Consider the following 20,080-nt stretch of genomic DNA (forward strand, 5'->3'; position numbering starts at 1 on the left):
TGAGTAGCTGCTCTTCAGACTTAGTATAATCTCAGAATTTAATTAGCAATCAGAGCAAAGGTCAATTGGTGTCTCACTGCATGGACTGAGAGAAAGAGTGAAGATGATTACATTTTCGCCTGATGCCCATTGCTCATTTGAAAGAACTCAAGTTCTTAACAACTGAAGGCAGCAGTGGTGTGAAGCCAGATGTCTTTACCCATCTGCTGTTCCTGATAGCTGAAGCTACTTCATCAACACTGGTTAATATGCTCTGGCAGGTGCAGGTCTTTAGAAATCAGTTTAAATTATTAAACCCCTTGCTTACACATAGGCTTCTAGAATCCACCCCAACTTTATATCTTGCCCATGGTCAGGCATCATGAGGGGACTGGACCATGCTCTTGTGACTCTTTTCACTGCCATCAGGATTTGAAGTCTTTATTTAGAGAGTCTCAGGCTGCCTTTAATATGTTTTTACCCTCTGACCCAATAATTCTTTTTTTTTTTTGAGACAGAGTCTTGCTCTGTTGCTCAGGCTGGAGTGCAGTGGCGTGATCCCAGCTCATTGCAACCTCCACCTCCCAGGTTCAAGCGATTCTCCTGCGTCAGCCTCCTGAGTAGCTGGAACTACAAGTGCCCGCCACTGCACCTGGGTAACTTTTGTATTTTTAGTAGAGATGGGGTTTCACCATATTGGCCAGGCTGGTCTTGAACTCTTGACCTCAAGTGATCCACCCACCTCGGTCTCCCAAAGTGCTAGGATTACAGGTGTAAGCCACCGCACCTGGCCTGACCCAATAATTCTACTTCTGGGAATTTAATTGAATAAAATTGTCAGAGAGCTATTCAGAAATTCACATATACAACGTTTGCAATAACATGGTTATAATATCAAAAACCTGGAAACAGTCAAATTAGTTAAGTAGGAGATTACATAATGATACAGCCACACTGTACTATGCAGCTACTAAAAATCATTTAGCAAGATTGGAAAATGCTCATTATATACTATAAGGTGAAAAGAGTAGAATGCAACTATAGGTATATAGTGTAATTTTGTAAAACAAACTATACATATATATGCATATAATTTTAGAAAATATATTTGTATTAGTAGGGTTATAGATATTTGCAAGTATTTTTCCTATTTAAGCCAATCTGTATTGTCCAGGTTCTCCATAATTTTATCAAAAACAGTTAATTTTCAATTATAAATTAGCTCAGCTTTTTGTTTTAAATAAGTGATAATGAAAAGGCAGTGGTTCACATACAGAAAAGTGCGGGAACATCCTTACGAAGCAACAAATTTAAAGGTGAGAAGGAGAGACAACAAGATCAGCAGGGATCAAGGTGCCAGTGTGGGAGAGGGAGCACTTACAGATTTGGGTCATCCCGACCTGGGGATCTCTAAGAAAAAGGTGAAAATTCCATGCCAAGTTCAATAAATACAGAGCTCAATACTGATTTCAGATGATAAAGTATTAACACATTGTTGATGATAAGGAATCAGCTACATTGGTTCTGTTCACTGCAGCAGCATGGCCAGAAGAGTGATGCTTGGGTCAGGAGGTAGAGCTGCCTCCCTGACTAAGGTCGAGTCTAGAAGCAGAGATAGAAGAGCAGAGCCTGTTGTAGGTTGTGAGGGAGAGGAAGTGAACCCAGCAGGCAGAGCAAGCATAAAGTTTATTGCCAGGAACACAGCAATGGAAAATGCAGGGTTGAGTAATATTCAGAGATCCAAATCCAGCAGCCAGAGGGAGCCTTTAAAAGTTAAGTCTAATCTGTCATTCCTCTGCTCAAAATCCTCCAGTAGCAACTCATTTCACCCAGAGTAAAAGCCATAGTCATAAAATCTAAATCTAAAAAATGTGCCCTTGGAAATCAGCTTGAGGTATCATGTTGTTCTTGGACTGCACAAGGATGGCAGAATCTCCCCAGTAGCTGTCAGCCACACTGGCCTTTGCTTTTTTTTTCAGTTCCCTAGGACCTCTAAAGAGCTATAACAACTAAACCTGCAAGCTTGGAACCTATAGCAGATTTCATCCACAAGGGGTCCCAGGAGAGGAAGCCTTGATACACAGATGCAAGTTGGAATCTAGGTATGAGGGACTGTGGGGAGTGCAGTGAAACTGACTATTTGGGTCTGGAACATAAAGTGTCATTGTGCTCTTGGGGCAACTGCAGTTGTGCAGGGATCAAATCCTCTGCTTCGAACAAACAAACAAACAAACCAACCCACCAATGTGCTCAACTGCTTCAAGCAGGTTTAAGTAATAAGAGTATATATGAGGCTCACCTGCCTGCATTTATCTGTGACCCCAAGATCTAAAATGATGCCACAGTCATCATGGAAAAGTAGCGTGGGGAGAGAGAGGAATGTGGAAGAGAAGAAAGGGGAAGGTAGTCCCTGGAAAGCCTGGGGAACTGGTCAAGATGGTGTATGGCTGTACCCTGACCCGTTCCATCAAAGCAGAATCTAAAGTGCTGCTGTGAGTTTCCAGAAAAGGAGCAAAACCCACAGGATGCACACATTCCAACTGTGCTCTGTGGAGCCTTTGGTCTAAATCTAACCCAGCTTTTCTGAGGTCAAAGGCTGAGTCAGTGAGAGAGCTGAGAATAGAACCCCTGAGCACCTGACGCCCGCCTGTGACCTATCTGTTAAACCATACAGAACAAGGTGTGTGCACATAAAGCATTTTTTATTTTAGTGATGGGAAGCAGGGCTTACCAAGTTTAGAAACTTCTTTGAAACCAGAGGTTCAGTCTTTGCAACCTGCACACTGACAATTACATAAAACATATATTTCTTTTTCTTCCTAGTGAAAGGGACTTTTTCAAATAATAAATTAGAGGATTCAAAGATGTTTTCCTAGACATGAATGGTTGTTTAAAAGCAGCACTTTTTTTCTTATTTAAATGTAGATGAATCTGAATGGGCTGGATTTAAACTGTGACATGCATTTCTAAGTTACGTTCTCCTCTACCTGTCTGCGCCAACACAGAGAAACACAGCAGTGAAAGTCTGTGCTCAAACCTCATCATAAACACAAGCCAAGGAGTTCCATACAAGGAACAACTTTTTGATTCCACCTGCCTGTTTTTGCTAGACCTTGACTTTGAGAAGAAAAAAAGGCTTGCAGTATAATTTTGGGGCTGCTCCAAGCCATGCGGGTTTCCCAGGTAGGCTAATAATTTTGTGCACCCACAAACCGTTACTAAATAAATACTTTTTAGGCTAAGTGTGGCAAGGAGTAAGAGGACTTTTGTGACAGCAGTTGGCATGTCCTATCCTATGCTATCTAAAATGGTAGCCATTAGACACACTTGGCTCTTTAACTACAAATTGATTAAAACAAAATTCAATTTAAAAATTGGTTATTTACCAGCTACTCATACCAGCTACATTTCAAGTGCTAAATAGCCACCTGTGGGTAGTGGTTATTGTATTACACAGCACTGATATGCAGAAAGCTCTACTGGACAGTACTGTTATGTCCCAAGTAATTCAGGTTCCAAATATATGTGCTCCTTGCTGTGCTCATCTACTGACAAGGCAGTTTAATGGTAATCTGTTATATTCTACCATTCAATCATTCAGCATGTATTGATCGAACACCTACTACACTTCCTGGCTTTGTTTGCCTATGGGCCAAGTGGTACCTGTGGCTTCAGATTTCAAAGAAGGCCCCGGGGCAGAAAATGAAAAGACCCATGGTAATGTTTGATGTGAGACTGTCTGTGTAGAAAAAACTCACTGTTTTTCTCTTTATTTGCACTCTCAATACTTCACTTCTGATACTGTGTGTGTGTGTGTGTGTGTGTGTGCCTGTGTGTAAAGTTTCCCACGCCAAGTAGTTCTCCAATTCTCTGCAGACACCAACCAGGTATCCTAGCATTCAATTCAATTCGGACACTCATCAGACTTAGCATCAGCTCCTACAGTTCGGACACTAACCAGAGTTAGCATCAGATTTCACAGGTCAAGGATTTAATCCCACAAAATTGCTCCCAATTCAGATGCCAATCCCAAGTCCAGGTTGTCACTCATGGTTCTGACCAGCCAACTATAAATCAGGCTCTCCACAACCCCTCCCTAGGTGAATCGTTTGCTAGACTAGCACACAAAACACAGGAAAAAAGTTTACTTCCTAGATTACTGGTTGATTATAGAAGACACAACTCAGGAACAATCAGATGGAAGGGATGCATAGGGCAAGGGATGGAGAAGGAGTACGGAGCTTCTATGCCCGCTGCGGGCACACCACCCTCCCAGGACCTCCACATGGTCACCTACCCTGAAGCTCCCCAAATCCTGTAGTTTAGAGATTTTTATGCAGGCTTTAATATGTAGGGATGATTGGTTATTAACTCAGTTTCTAGCGCCTGTTTCCTGCCCAGAGGATGGGGGTTGAGGTTGAAAGATTCAAGCTTCTAATTCTGGTTTGGTCTTTCTGATGACCAGCCTCCACCCAGGAGCCCACCAACGTTTGCCTCATTAGAACAAAACACATTCCCACCACCCAGAAAATTCCAAGGTATTAAGAGCTCTGTGTTAGAAAGCAGGGTCAAGGACCAAATATTAGAGAAAAGATATTCACTTAACAAAACTATTGTTCAGGAAATTACTTTCAGGAGCTCTGTGATAGGAACCGGAGGCAGAGATCAGATGTGTATTTTTTTATTATGTCATACTGTCCACTGCCACTGGAGATGAGAAATGGGCTTAGGGTAAATGACCCAGGGCACCAAAATTGTGCACTTTGTAACTGTAACTATTTTTGCCTTCATTTAAAAAATCACTGCTATTACAATTTAAAGTATTTTTAGTATCCAGTAGTAACACCATGTGAGCATTCGTTTGAAGGTGGTCCAAATGATGCTGCTGAGAAAATGGTCCTGAAAATCAGTATCTTTGGAATAGAAGCTAGACATGCTAAAATAAGACCAAACACCCTGACACACTGGGTTGTACATTTTGAAGAAAGCATGCTATGAAATATTAGAAATAATCTTGGAAAAAACATAAAACAACTATTAAAGTGAAAATAGACAAAAATTACAGTAGATGTATGTGCTATGAGAATCCATCCTTCCCTAGTTTCCATTTAGGAAAATTTTCCATGTGGGAAAATTAGGCTGGAATTATGCAACGCTTAAGGAACACAACCCTCACATGAGCCATCCCTGAATAACTTTCTTCATCAAGGTACTTTTCCAGCGAAAACTGTATAGATTGGCAGCCAAGGAGACTGCTCAGTGAATCCATCCTGTTGTTTAGCTTCAGTCTGGCACATAAGAGTAAAAAATACTGTGGTTGCACACACAACATCCATTTTACCCTCTTACTTTGGGTAGAAACCATGTGGCTGTTCTCCCCTAACTCTAGAGGTGGATTCTCACTAGTCTAGGCCTGGCTGTTATTGGTTTAGATGGGCTCATTTCCCAGGTCTAAAATTACTGTGACTTCCTTAGCCATACTAATTTTTTTCAGAGGTGAGAAAGTCCAGTCAGTGGGAAGCTTAAGAATTTGGTTTTATGGTTGGAAGGAAAGGAACCCCTTCTTGCCCCCAGTGCAAATGAGAAAGCATTTAGCCCTAGGAGCTGCGGGTAGCCACCTTGCTACCATATGGAAAACCAGCCTAAATAAAAAGCCAGTGCAAGAAGGAGAGCACAACCACGGGAACTGAACATTTTTAAAAAAGGAGCAATGACCCTGATGATAATATTATAAACCTTTGGCCCAAACTAACCCTAAAGTTTGCTCTCTAGTCTTTCTAGTTATGTGATTCAGTAAACTCCCTTATTCTCTGAGCCAGGTTTTTTTTTTTTTTTTTTTCCCAAGCTGGAGCTTTGCTTTTGTTGCCCAGGTCGGAGTGCAGTGGCGCAATCTCGGCTCACTGCAACCTCCGCCTCTCAGGTTCAAGCAATTCTCCTGCTGCAGCCTCCTGAGTAGCTGGGATTACAGGTGCCCACCGCCACGCCTGGCTAATTTTTGTTGTTGCTGTTGTTGTTGTTTTTTAGTAGAAAGGGGGTTTCACCATGTTGGCCAGGTGGGTCTCGAACTCCTGACCTCAAGTGATCCACCCGCCTCGGCCTCCCAAAGTGCTGGGATTATAGGCATGAGCCACCGGCCCGGCCCGGCCCTCTGAGCCAGTTTTAGTTGTGTTTATGCTGCAGAAAGCTTCCTAACTGATAACAGACACTTAGAAATAAATATTCATTTCCCTTCCCATCCATCAGTAGTGCCATTAAAACGATCAAGACTTAAAACAGAAAGTCAAATATAAAGACAATAGAAGACTATGTTTTTTTCATGACCTAAATCAAATGCCATTTTTTTTCCACTCAAACTTTTTTTAGCATAACTTTATTATTTTATTGTTAGTCCCTAATCTCTGGCAATTCACTTCTAAATTGATTTATATTGCTTATAAAGTGAAACATCATCTACTACTCAGTTTAATTACTAAATTCTGATTGCTTACATAAATAAACAGCTCTCTGCATGTGACAAGTCTGGACATTGCTGATCTCAGATTGGTTGAATTCACTTGTGGTCCTAATGGTGGTCAATCATGTGTCTATGAAGGAGTTCTGATTGTAATAATGCTCTGGTGCAACAAAATAATGTTTCATAGTTTCATATTTTACAAAGTACATTATTACTTCCATTTGTCCTAGATATATATCTAACAATGTCTAGTTCAACAGATTCTGCAAGTTATCTCCCAATAGAAATGATTGAAAATATGAAAACATTACACAAAGGCATTTGTGTAAATGAAACGTATATCAGTTTGGACTCTTTCTATTGCCAGTGATGGAAGACCCAACTTAAATTGGTTTCATTAAAGAAGGGGAATTCATTGACCCATGAACTGAAAAATCCAGGGACTCATTTAGGGCAGGATTTGAGGCTCAAACAATGCTATCAGAACTTACCTTCTGTTTGTCTTCATCTCTGAGCTCTATTCTAATGCATTGGCTCCATTCATAGTTCCTGGTTACCCCATGTCTCTTAGTCCAACAGAAGGGACGGTACTCTTCCTTGAAAAACTCAAAGAGAGGTCCTAGATCTTAGGATTATTGGTACTGATTGGCCTAACTAATTATTGTGATCAAGGGATGGAACACATAGATTGGCTTAGACTAGGTCCTATCCTAAACCCCTGTATTCAGCAGCAGACATAGTTCACTGGGACCACAGCCAAACCTACTGAAGGTAAGAGAAATCCTAAATATGTATATATTGTACAGTTGACCCTTGAACAATGAAAGGTTAGGGGAGCTGACTCCATGCACAGTCAAAAATCCACATATAACTTTTGACTCCACCAAAACCTAACTACTAATAGCCTACTATTGACCTGAAGCCTTACCAATAACATAACCAGTCATTTAGAACACATTTTCTGTTATAGGCATTATATACTGTATTTTAACAATAAAGTAAGCTAGAGAAAAGAAAATCATAAGGAAGAGAAAATATATTTACTATTTGTTTAGTGAAAGTGGATCATCATAAAGGTCTTCATCCTCATCATCTTCATGTTGAGTAGGCTGAGAAGAAGAATGAAGAGGAGGGATTGGTCTTGCTGTCTCAGGGGTAGCAGCAGAGGCAGAAGATCTGCCTATAAGTGGACGCACACAGTTCAAACCTGTGTTGTTCAAGGGTCAACTGTACATTCTTATCTAAAAAAATGGATGTGTGGGTGGTGGGAGGTGAAATGGCAATGAACCATCAGAAAGTGAGGCCATATATCATTCTTGCCTTTGGTCCCAGGAACCTGTGGTGGTCTGGCTGAGGCCTTTCCCACTTACTCTGACTTTTCACATTCGGGTTCATATGCAGTCGCCAAGTTTGACTTTTAGTGGGCTTCTTTGCCTTTCTTTCTCACCCTATTCAGGTCCCATCTAAGCATTAATTTCTCTGTGAGCTCAATTCTTGTCTTGACAGTCAAAGTTAATGTACAAGGCATTGTTAAAACTACATGAGTGGCGGCTCATGTCTGTAATCCCAGCATTTTGGGAGGCCGAGGTGGGGGGTGGATCACTTGAGTTCAGGAGTTCGAGACCACCCTGGCCAATGTGGCGAAACCCCATCTCTATTTAAAATAACAAAGTTAGCCAGGTGTGGTGGTGCACACCAGTAGTCCCAGCTACTTGGGAGGCTGAGGCAGGAGAATTGCTTGAACCTGGGAGGTGGAGGTTGCAGTGAGCTGAGATCTCACTTCTGTACTCCAGCCTGGGCAACAGAGTGAGACTCTGTCTCAAAACACAAACAACAACAACAGCAACAACAGCAAACCCACTGGCTGGGCCAGGTGCAGTGGCTGATGCCTGCAATCCCAGCACTTTGGAAGACCGAGGCAGGAAGATTGCTTGAGCCCAGGAGTTCAAGATCATCCTGGGCAACACAGTAAGACCCCATCTCTACAAAAAAATTAAAATATTGCCAGGTGGTGTGGTTCATGCCTCTAATCCCAGCACTGAGGTGGGCAGATCACTTGAAGTCAGGAGTTTGAGACCAGCTTGGCCAACTTAGAGAAATCCCATCTCTCCTAAAACCCTATTTCCCATTTTTTCCCTCCTAATTCATTCTTGTTAGCTTCACAATATGATTTATGAACACAAACAATGTCTAGGAAAAGAAGGAATATTCTGGGTGATAGGTTCCGAGGTAGCTGGTTAACTAATTTTGATGGATAGAAAATAACTAACTTAGCTGACTAATTTTGATAAATAGAAAGTAAGTAATCTAGAAGAGCAGGGAGAATATATTGCGGGCATCCAATATGAAGCACAGACTTTGTTTTTTTTCTAGAAATAGTTGAATTAGTTCTGATCTACTTGGAGGTATTTGGGTATTTCTAGATGATCTGTCTTGGGACCAGTGTCCTGAAGAGGGATAGGTTTCATTTTTAAAGAGGGTAGCAGAAATACAAGGACATTTTTGGAAAGTTAAAATTGTCCACTAAGAAATTTGCTGAGCTTCTAATTTGTCTGTTAATCAACAATCTAAAAATAAGGGCTGCTTTAAATAAAAGACCAAAATAAATAACTCATGGAAAAGTCCCGTATTTGTTCCTGTCCAGCAGTCCAATTATATCATGTAATCACTTCTTCCCCTTTCAAGCTAACATGATTGCACTTGTTCTTTTCACTTAATAAATATGGACTTCCCTTTTTAAGCTATTTGAAGAAATATACATCTCCTGCTTTGCCTATTAAGAAAGCACATTTTAACTTTTTTTTTTCTTTTGCCAAGGGAGATGCTACATAGGGTGAATTCAAGGAGTCCCAAAGAAGAATCTGAAATAATGTGAGGCAACTGGGAGGTGTTGAGAAAAAGTATTAAACATGGATTTAAAAAGCTGGAGTTTAAATATAGTACAGCCATTACTGTGTTACCTTGGCCAATTTACCTAACCTCTGTGAGCATCATTTTCTGAAGAAAACAGAGAATAAGAGGGTCAAAAGTAACATAGTAATGAGACCCTATGTAAAGCTGGAAGGAGTCTTAGATGGACGTCAAGTCTACTCTCTAATACTTAAAGCATTGGGGGTAGATGGATTTTTATTTAAAATTATAACAGGAATACCTTTTATTTATGTAAATTTTACTCTTAAAGATTTTCTCTAAAAAAGAAATAATTTATTCTAAGAGATTCAATATGACTAAAATAAATGACATGTCTTTATATCTGCCAGTGTTTTATTATCATAATGTTACAATGGTAAGCATTAAGTTCTGAGAATTGGATGTAAGCCACGTACTGCTAAGATCATTGGTTCTCATAGGTACAAATCTAAGTCTATTTTGGATCATACCCAGGAATTGATGAACCTTCCACCCAGCCTTAACATGAAGATAGAGAAAGGAATGCGACGGGCTTGGGAGGAGAAAGTGTTCAAAGTGCTAAGTTGAGATGTTTCGCATTCCAGGTCCCAAACTCAACATTTTAAAATTAGCCTCTCTATTTTAAAGAAGAGCAGGGTTTTTCTGACTCCATTCTATGGCCCTTGCTCTCTCCTATTTCTTCAAATTTCATATCAATTCATTGGGGTTTACATGAAAAAAGAGAATATTTGATAAACATTAATTCCCCCAAAGATAGTATTTTTTTGCCCACCTGAATTTAAGGCAAGCCAATCTAAACTTCAAACCTGAACCAAACAAAAAGGAGAAAAACAAAAGGAAACCTCAAAAACGTTTCTTTCAAGCTAGCTTTCGCCTGTAATCCCAGCACTTTGGGAGGCCGAGGCGGGCGGATCACGAGGTCAGGAGATCGAGACCATCCCAGCTAACACGGTGAAACCCCGTCTCTACTAAAAAATACAAAAAATTAGCTGGGCGTGGTGGCGGGCCCCTGTAGTCCCAGCTACTCCGGAGGCTGAGGCAGGAGAATGGCGTGAACCCGGGAGGCGGAGCTTGCAGTGAGCCGAGATCGGGCCACTGCACTCCAAGCTGGGTGACAGAACGAGACACTGTCTCAAAAAAAAAAAGAAAAAAAAAGTAAGTTCTCCAAATCCACGAAACCGTTCCAGGTACTCATTACAGCTGCTGCCTTTACTGCTTCAGGAATTTGCGTCAACATTGCTTTAGGGCATGCGTGGTCATTCTTCACTCCGTTGTTGTTGTTTACAACAACATATATGGGGATTGTATATGTTTATATAGTATATGGGGATTGTAGTGTTTATCTCACTCCTTGGATGATTTCTGGAGACACAGGGTTTTGCTATGTTGCCCAGGCTGGCTTTGAACTCCTGGGATCAAGTGACCCTCCTGCCTCAGCCTCTGAAGTAGATGGGACTACAGGTCCACGCCACCATGCCGAGCTGGACATGTAAATTTGAAGTGAATGATTAAACATGCAGCTAGTTGAAAACATGACAGACCAGTAACAGAAAAGCTACAATGTGTTTTTGAAACTATAAAGTGAATGGTTTCTTGGGAAAAATTGTGGATTTGTATATCTGTTGTTGAAATCAGAATAAACTATATTTCACTTGTATATTCTTAAATGAATTATTAAATTTTTCAGAAGTCAGTATTATATAGAAATACCATTTTGCAATGTTTAATCTGTTTGAATCTTTGGAGAAGGTGGTTTCATTATAGGTGCATAATGCACTCTCAATATTTTAAACAAATTGTTCACTCTTCCATTTAAGGTATAACAGTTTCTTGTATAAAATGGCTGGATGTGTATAAAGGAATTACGCTGTCTTGTGCCTTTAACACAACTTCAGTAATTACTATAATCTCATGTTTATAATAGTTTTGTTGGGTGAGAGGATCAAATGAAAGTATTTTATGTTTTCTCATCTCTTTAGATTTTATCATTGTGTAAATTATTGGGCTTTTAGCATTTGATGACATGAATTTTTAATCATTTTTAAGTACACATAATTTCTTCTGCACCATTTAAATAAAATATTATTATAACTTTAAAAAAAGTAAGTTCTGATTTTGTTGGAAATCTTTCCATGCCACTTATCAATATAATCCTAGCTTCTCCCCATGATCCAAATTAAAACAATAATTTCTAAGCCTTTTGGAGTTGTAACAAGTAATAATGATTAATTCTGCAGTCCTTCCTTTCTCCTTGTTTCCTTCCTTAATCATATCTGTTTTTCATCATACCTCACATACATAATATTATATAACTTATTTTATTTTTAGAGTTAAATGTATGTTATAACAGCTTTATTGAGTTGTAATTCACATGTCATACAATTCACTCTTTTAAAGTACACAATTCAGTGGTTTTTAATAGAGTCACAGTTGTTCAGTCATCACCACTACCTCATTCCAGAGCATTTATATCACCCTAAAAAGAACTATGTATCCATTAGCAGTCACTCACCATTTCCTTTTTTTCCCAGCACCTGACAACCACCAATCTACTTTCTGTCTCTATGGATTTGCCTATCATGAACATTTCACAGAAACGAAATCAGACGATACATGACCTTTTGTGTCTGGCTTCTTTGATTCAGTAGAAAGCTTTTAAGATCCATCCATGTTGTAACACGCATCAGTACTTTGTTCCTTTTTATTGCCTAATAATATTCCATTGTGTGTGTTTACTACATTTATTTTATTTGTTCATTCATCAGTTGATGGAACTCAGGTTATATCCAGTCCCAGGCTATTATAAATAATGTTGCTATGAATATTTATGTATCAGTTCTTGTGTGAGCCTGTGTTTTCATTTCTCTTTGGTATACACCAGGAGTGGAGTTACTAGGTCATATGGTAGCTCTATGTTTAACTTTTTGAGGAACTGCCATCCTGTTTTCCAAAGTGGCTGCTCCATTTTATATTCTCATGAGTATTAAATGAGGGGTTTCAATTTCTCCACATCCTTGCCCAAACTTGATATGGTCTTTTTGATTATAGCCATCCCAGCAGGTATAAAGTGGTATCTCATGGTAATTTTTTATTTAAATGTGTATTTTAATTTGTAATCATTTTTTTTCAGAATTTTATGATGTACTTTGTGATTAACAGCCACAGTAGCAATTTATCAAACACTTTTCTAAGCAATATCTAATTTTGTGGGTATAATGATTCCCATTCTACAAAGAAACCAAAGTTAGGAAGGTCGAATGCTATTCGTGGTTCTAGTGGTGGAGCCAGTGTTTGCATCCAGGCCTGTCTGACATTCAGCTCCTTGTTGTTGTACGAATTCATTATATTGCCATGGAAACACACTCCAAACTTGCTAGTCCACAAACTCATAGCCTATAATTTATAATTTGAGACACAAAGCCCAATGACCTATTCATTTCACTAGAAAGATTAAGGTCTTTGGGAACACCCCACAGCATCCTGGCCCTGAATCCTGGAGGAGGACCAAAAAGGGCCTCAGTTGAGGGGCAGTCATCTCAATTCTTTTCTCCATTCCCGACCCAATCAGATTTATTCTGATGTTTTGAATATTCAGCTGCATGATGTAGCCCTGACTTCATCATGGATACTAAAAGTTGTTGTGTGCTACTACACACCTATTAGAATGGCCACAATCCAGAACACTGACAACACCAAATACTAGCAAGAATGTGGAGCAACAAGAACTCTCTCTCATTGCTGGTAAGAGTGCAAAGTGGTACAGTCACTTTGTAAAACAGGTTGGTGGTTTCTTACAAAACTAAACATATTTTACTGTATGATCTAGCAATCACACTCTTTGGTATTTACCCAAAGGAGCTGAAAACTTATGTCCACACAACAACCTGCACACAGGTGTTTATAGTAGATTTATTTGTTGCCAAAACTTGGAAGCAATCAAGATGTCCTCCAGTAGCTGAATGGACAAATAAACATGGTACATCCAAACAATGGAATATTATTCCACACTAAAAAGTAATGAACTATCGTGCCATGAAAACACATGGAGAAAACATAAAATGCACATTTCTAAGTGAAACAGTAGGCTGCGTACTGAAAGGCTATATACTGTGTGATTTTAACTATACAACACTTTGGAAAAGGCAAAACTATGGAGACAGGAAAAAGATCAGTGGTTTCTAGGGCTTGGGGGAAAGAAGGGATGAATATGTGGAACACAAAGAATTTTTAGGGCAGTGAAACCACTCTGTATGATACTATAGTGATGTATACATATCATCATAAATTTGTCCAAACTCACAGAATGTGTAACACCCAGAGTGAACCCTAATGTAAATTATGGAGTTTGGATGATAAAGATGTAACAATGTAGGTTCATCAATTGTAACAAATACACCACTCTGGAGTGGGGTGTTGATAATGGGAAGACTATGCATTTGTGGGAACAAGGAGTATATGGGAAATCTCTATAACTTTTGGTGTGAACTTAAAACTCAATTTTGGTGTGAACTTAAAACTGCTATTAAAAAAGTCTATTTTTTCAAAAAAGTTCTTATACTGATGTAAATAATTTAGATAATTGATTACATTATCTGGTTGATCTTTTTTTAATTTTTTAATTTTTTTATTTTTAGTATTTATTGATCATTCTTGGGTGTTTCTCAGAGAGGGGGATTTGGCAGGGTCATAGGACAATAGCGGAGAGAAGGTCAGCAGATAAACATGTGAACAAAGGTCTCTGGTTTTCCTAGGCAGAGGACCCTGCGGCCTTCCGCAGTGTTTGTGTCCCTGGGTACTTGAGATTAGGGAGTGGTGGTGACTCGTAACGAGCATGCTGCCTTCAAGCATCTGTTTAACAAAGCACATCTTGCACCGCCCCTAATCCATTTAACCCTGAGTTGACACAGCACATGTTTCAGAGAGCATGGGGTTGGGGGTAAGGTTATAGATTAACAGCATCCCAAGGCAGAAGAATTTTTCTTAGTGCAGAACAAAATGGAGTCTCCTATGTCTACTTCTTGCTACACAGACACAGTAACAATCTGATCTCTCTTTCTTTTCCCCACATTTCCCCCTTTTCTATTTGACAAAACCGCCATCGTCATCATGGCCTGTTCTCAATGAGCTGTTGGGTACACCTCCCAGACAGGGTGGCAGCCGGTCAGAGGGGCTCCTCACTTCCCAGACGTGGCGGCTGGGCAGAGGCGCCCCCCACCTCCCAGACGGGCCGGCTGCCGGGCGGGGGTGCCCCCCACCTCCCAGAGGGGGCGGCCAGGTGGAGACGCTCCTCACTTCCCAGACAGGGCGGCTGCGGGGCGGAGGGGCTGCTCACTTCTCAGACAGGGCGGCCGGGCAGAGGCGCTCCCCACATCCCAGACGATGGGCGGCCAGGCAGAGACGCTCCTCACTTCTCAGACGGGATGACGGCCGGGAAGAGGCGCTCCTCACTTCCCAGACTGGGTGGCCGGGCAGACGGGCTCCTCACATCCCAGACGATGGGTGGCCAGGCAGAGACGCTCCTCACTTCCTAGACGCGGTGGCAGCCGGGCAGAGGCTGCAATCTCAGCACTTTGGGAGGCCAAGGCAGGTGGCTGGGAGGTGGGGGTTGTAGCGAGCGAGATCAGGCCACTGCACTCCAGCCTGGGCAACATTGAGCACTGAGTGAGCGAGACTCCGTCTGCAATCCCGGCACCTCGGGATGCCGAGGCGGGCAGATCACTCGAGGTCAGGAGCTGGAGACCAGCCTGGCCAGCGCGGCGAAACCCCCTCTCCACCAAAAAATACAAAAACCAGTCAGGCGTGGCGGCGAGCACCTGCAATCCCAGGCACTCGGCGGGCTGAGGCAGGAGAATCAGGCAGGGAGGTTGCAGTGAGCAGAGATCGTGGCAGTACAGTCCAGCCTCGGCAACAGAGGGAGACCGTGGAAAGTGAGAGACGGAGACGACGGAGAGGGAGAAGGAGAGGGAGAGGGAGAGGGAGACGGAGAGGGAGAGGGAGAGGGAGAGGGAGAGGGAGAGGGAGAGGGAGAGGGAGAGGGAGAGGGAGAGGGAGAGGGAGAGGGAGGATCGTTCTTTACAACCAGAAAATCTTGCACTGTGGGAGGAGCAGATCAAATACCTTAGAGGAGGACAGCTAGAGATCCTATAGCAACAACTGCCCTCAAGATATTGCCCTTGTTTCTATGACTTCCTCTCTTTCCAATTAACTTGACCTTATAGGCTTTATGTTGACTATGACTTAAAAAACAAGTTCATTCTATCAAACACTTTGCTGTTTGTCTTTCAATCCATTTCTATCTCCCTACATATAATTTTTATTCACTTAATAGTCTTTGCCCTATCGATTCTACCTTCACCTCATTCTCTACAGTCAATCCCTTATAACACATTTTTGGTATTACTTCTGTGTCATTAAATATGCTTCTTCTATCATTGGTTGATTTATTAATTTTAGACATTATCTAAATTTTCATCCTCTATAATAAATAAGAAGTAAGATATCCATTCAGTGATGTCATCCACTACTTCCCTGGTAACTCTAAGAGATATTATCACAGCTTTGTTTCTCATTTTATCCTTTTTTTAACCTTTCCTTGTGGGCATGCCTGTGTTGGGTTAACAGTGGGGGTAATAATGGCTTGTTGGTTGATTGTAGATATTGGGCTGTTAATTGTCAGTTTAATATTTTGGTCTGATGTAGGCTTATGAGGAGGAGAATGTTTTCATGTTACTTATACTAACATTAGTTCTTCTATAAGGTAATAGATTAGTCCAATTGAGTGTAAGGAGCTCAGTTGTATGTTTGGGATTTTTTAGACAATGGGCATTATCCTTGATTGCTCAGCTTGTAAGATGAGGATGTTAATGCCTCTATCCTTCCTTTCAGTTCTTCTCCACTCCTTCTTCTTCCTAACTTCTAACCTTTATGCTTTCTCCTTTGCATCTCCAAAGTTGATAACATTTTATAATTTATTCTGCAACCAAAATGTAGTATTACATACAATGCCTATAGGTTGAGTTTAAAAGTTGAAAAGCAGGGCCGGGTGTGGTGGCTCACACCTGTAATCCCAGCACTTTGGGAGGCCAAGGTGGGTGGATCACCTGAGGTCAGGAATTCGAGACCAGCCTGGCCAACATGGTGAAACCCCATCTCTATTAAAAGTACAAAAATTAGCAGAGTGTGGTGGTGCAAGTCTGTAAGCCCAGCTATTCAGGAGGCTGAGGCATGAGAATAACTTGAATCCGGGAGGCGGAGGTTGCAGTGAGCTGAGATTGCACCATTGCACTCCAGCCTGGGTGACAAGAGCAAAACTCCATCTCAAAAAAAAAGTTGAAAAGCAGTAAAATACTAATATTGTGACTTTATAAAACTTATAAATTGACACAGTATTAAAATATGATTATGCTTTTCCTTGTGTAGCTTTTTTCCTCATGAATTTTTAAAAGTTCCCTTTTTGTTTTGCTATTTGCCTTTAGTATAGTCTGATTATTATTTTCATACTGTACAGAATTTCAGATATGCTATTATTTCCTTTTCTCATCAATGAAAACCATCCATCCATCTCCTCCAATTTGAACTGCTCTCAAGGCCTGATACACAGCTGTCATCCTGGGGTCTCCCTTCACCTTCTTGAATTGTTCTCAAATTTTACTGAAACACATCTTTAAGAAGTTTCCTAAGACATGGTATATGAAAGATAAAATTTCTAAATTGTTGTATATATTTGATAACATTGCTATGTAGTTTGTTTTTTAGGGATGATTTCAGCATCTTTTTATTCTTCATGTTCACAGTTATCTGTATGGATATAGGTGTTTTTTCATTCCATTGTACTGAGGAGTTGGGAATATCTTAATATGAAGACATTGTCCTTCATCTCTAGAAAATGTATTTATTTGAAAATGTCGTTATCTCCTCTTTTTCTGTGTTTCCTCCCTGAAACTCCTATTATTGATGTTGGATCTCTTAGATTGATCTTATTCCATTTCTTTAGAAAAGAACAATTTTCTTTAAGGTAAATGCTAAGAACTTTTCAAGAGGCCTAGAGAGGTGAACTTTTCTGAATATATACTAAATAATCCCTTTGTTTTTACTGCTTAATGTCACCATTTGTTGTACCTGGTATATCTGTGTCCTGTGCCTTTCCTGCATTCTTCAGATTGTTTTTGTCCTTAGATGGAAATGTCCTGCCCCTGTCCTTAATACTTACATGCACGCACACACATGCTCTTTTTCTCTCTGTCTAGAATGAGGCTTCTTCCTTCTTACTTCACCAATAGTCACTCCTCTAACAGTTCTCAGTCTTCCAGAAATTTGGCGTAATCTATTATTCACCAATGGAGCCCTTCCTTTTTGCTTTTTTGTATTAAAATTATTCCTTTTATATTCTGTTTCTGTGATTTTTAATTGAATCAGGAGGGAGAGGTGTGATTCTTCCACAATACTGAATGCTATCGTTTAAATGTTTCTGTCCTTCCAAAATTCATGTGCAATGAATCCCCAATGAAATAATATTAAGAGATGGGCCCTTTTGGAGGTGATTAGGTCATGAGGGGTCCACAACCATGAATGGGATTAGTGCCCATATAAAAGGGCTTGAAGGAGCCTGTTTGGTCCTTTTGCCCTTCCTTCAAGTGAGGATGCAGGAAGGAGGTGCCATCTTGGAAGCACAGAATAAGCCTTTACCAGATCCTGAATCTCTTGGCACCTAGATCCCAGACTTCCCAGCCTCCAGTTATAATAATAAATTTCTATTATTTAAAAATTATTCACCCTAAGGCATTATGTTATAGTAGCCCAGCTGACTTGAGACATTGACACCTCGAACAAATCAAGCTCTTTATCAGAACCTGCTGGACTTTGATCTGCCCAGTCCCTATCACTCTGATATGATTTGGCTGTGTGTTGCCACCCAAATCTCACCTTGAATTGTAATAATCCTCATGTGTCAAGGGTGGGGCCAGGTAGAGATAATTGAATCATGAGGGTGGTTTCTCCTATACTGTTTTCATGGTAGTGAAAAAGTCTCACAACATCTGATGGTTTTATAAATGGGAGTTCCCCTGGACAAGCTCTCTCTCCTGCCACCATGTAAGACATGGCTTTGCTTCTCCTTTGCCTTCTGACATGATCGTGAGGCTTCCCCAGCCATGTGGAACTGTGAATGCATTAAACTTCTTTGCTTCATAAATTATCCAGTCTCGGATATGTCTTTATTAGCAGTGTGAAAACAGACTAATACAGTAAATTGGTACCGGGAGTGGGGTGCTGCTGTAAAGATACCCGAAAATGTAAAAGCGACTTTGCAACTGGGTAACAGGCAGAGGCTGGAACAGTTTGGAGAGCTCAGAAGAGGACAAGAAAATAAGGGAAAGTTTGGAACTTCCTAGAGACTTGTTCAATGGCTTTGACCAAAATGCTGATAGTGATATGGACAAAGAAGTCTGGGTTGAGGTGATCTCAGATGGAGATGAAGAACTTGTTGGCAACTGGAATAAAGGTGGCTCTTGCTATGTTTTAGCAAAGAGAATGGTGGCATTTTGCCCCTGCTGTAGGGATTTGTGGAAGTTTTAACTTGAGAGAGATGATTTAGGGCATCTGGCGGAAGACATTTCTAAGCAGCAAAGTGTTCAAGAAGTGGCTTGAGTGCTATTTCTTTTTTTTCTTTTTCTTTTTTTTTGAGACAGAGATTCACTCTTTTTGCCCAGGCTGGAGTGCAATGGTGCAATCTTGGCTCAGTGCAACCTCTACCTCCTGGGTTCAAGTGATTCTCCTGCCTCAGCCTCCTGAGTAGCTGGGATTACAGGTGTCTGCCATCACATCTAGCTAATTTTGTATTTTTAGTAGAGACGGGGTTTCTCCATGTTGGTCAGGCTGGTCTCGAACTCCTGATCTCAGGTAATCTGCCTGCCTCGGCCTCCCAAAGTGCTGGGATTACAGGCGTGAGCCACCACACCTGGCAGACTTGAGTGCTATTAAAAGCATTCAGTTTTATGTATTCACAAATATATGGTTTGGAATTGTAACATGTTTAAAAGGGAAGCAGAGCATAAAAGTTCAGAAAATTTGCAGACTGATGATGCAATAGGAAAGAAAAACCCATTTTCTGAGGAGAAATTCAATCTGCCTGCAGAAATTTGCATAAGTAATAAGTAGCCAAATGTCAAACCGTAAAACAATGGGGAAATGTCTCCAGGGCATGTCAAAGGTCTTCATGGCAGCCCATCCCATCACAGGTCCAGAGGCCTAGGGAAAAAAAATCGTTTTGTGGACCAGGCCTAGGGCCTTGATGCTTTGTGCAGTCTCAGGACTTGGTGCCCTGCATCCCAGCCATGGCTAAAAGGGGCCAATGTAGAGCTGAGGCCATTGCTTCAGAGGATGCAAGCCCCAAGCCTTGGTGTCTTCCACATGGTGTTGGGCCTGCAGGTGCACAGAAGTCAAGAATTGAGGTTTAGGGGACTCTGCCTAGATTTCAGAGAATGTATAGAAGCACCTTGATGTCCAGACAGAAGTCTGCTGCAGGGCTGGAGCCCTCATGGAGAACCTCTACTAGGGCAGTGTGGAAAGGAAATGTGGGGTTGAAGCCCCCACAAAGAGTCCCCAAAGGGGCACTGCTTAGTGAAGCTGTGAGAAGAGGGCCACCATCCTCCAGCCTCCAGAATGATAGATCCACTGACATCTTGCACCATGCCCCTGGAAAAGCTGCAGACACTCAATGCCAGGCCTTGAAAGCAGCCA

This window comes from Homo sapiens, chromosome 4 (genome assembly GCF_000001405.40).
Source record: "Homo sapiens chromosome 4, GRCh38.p14 Primary Assembly".
Taxonomy (NCBI): Eukaryota; Metazoa; Chordata; class Mammalia; order Primates; family Hominidae; genus Homo; species Homo sapiens.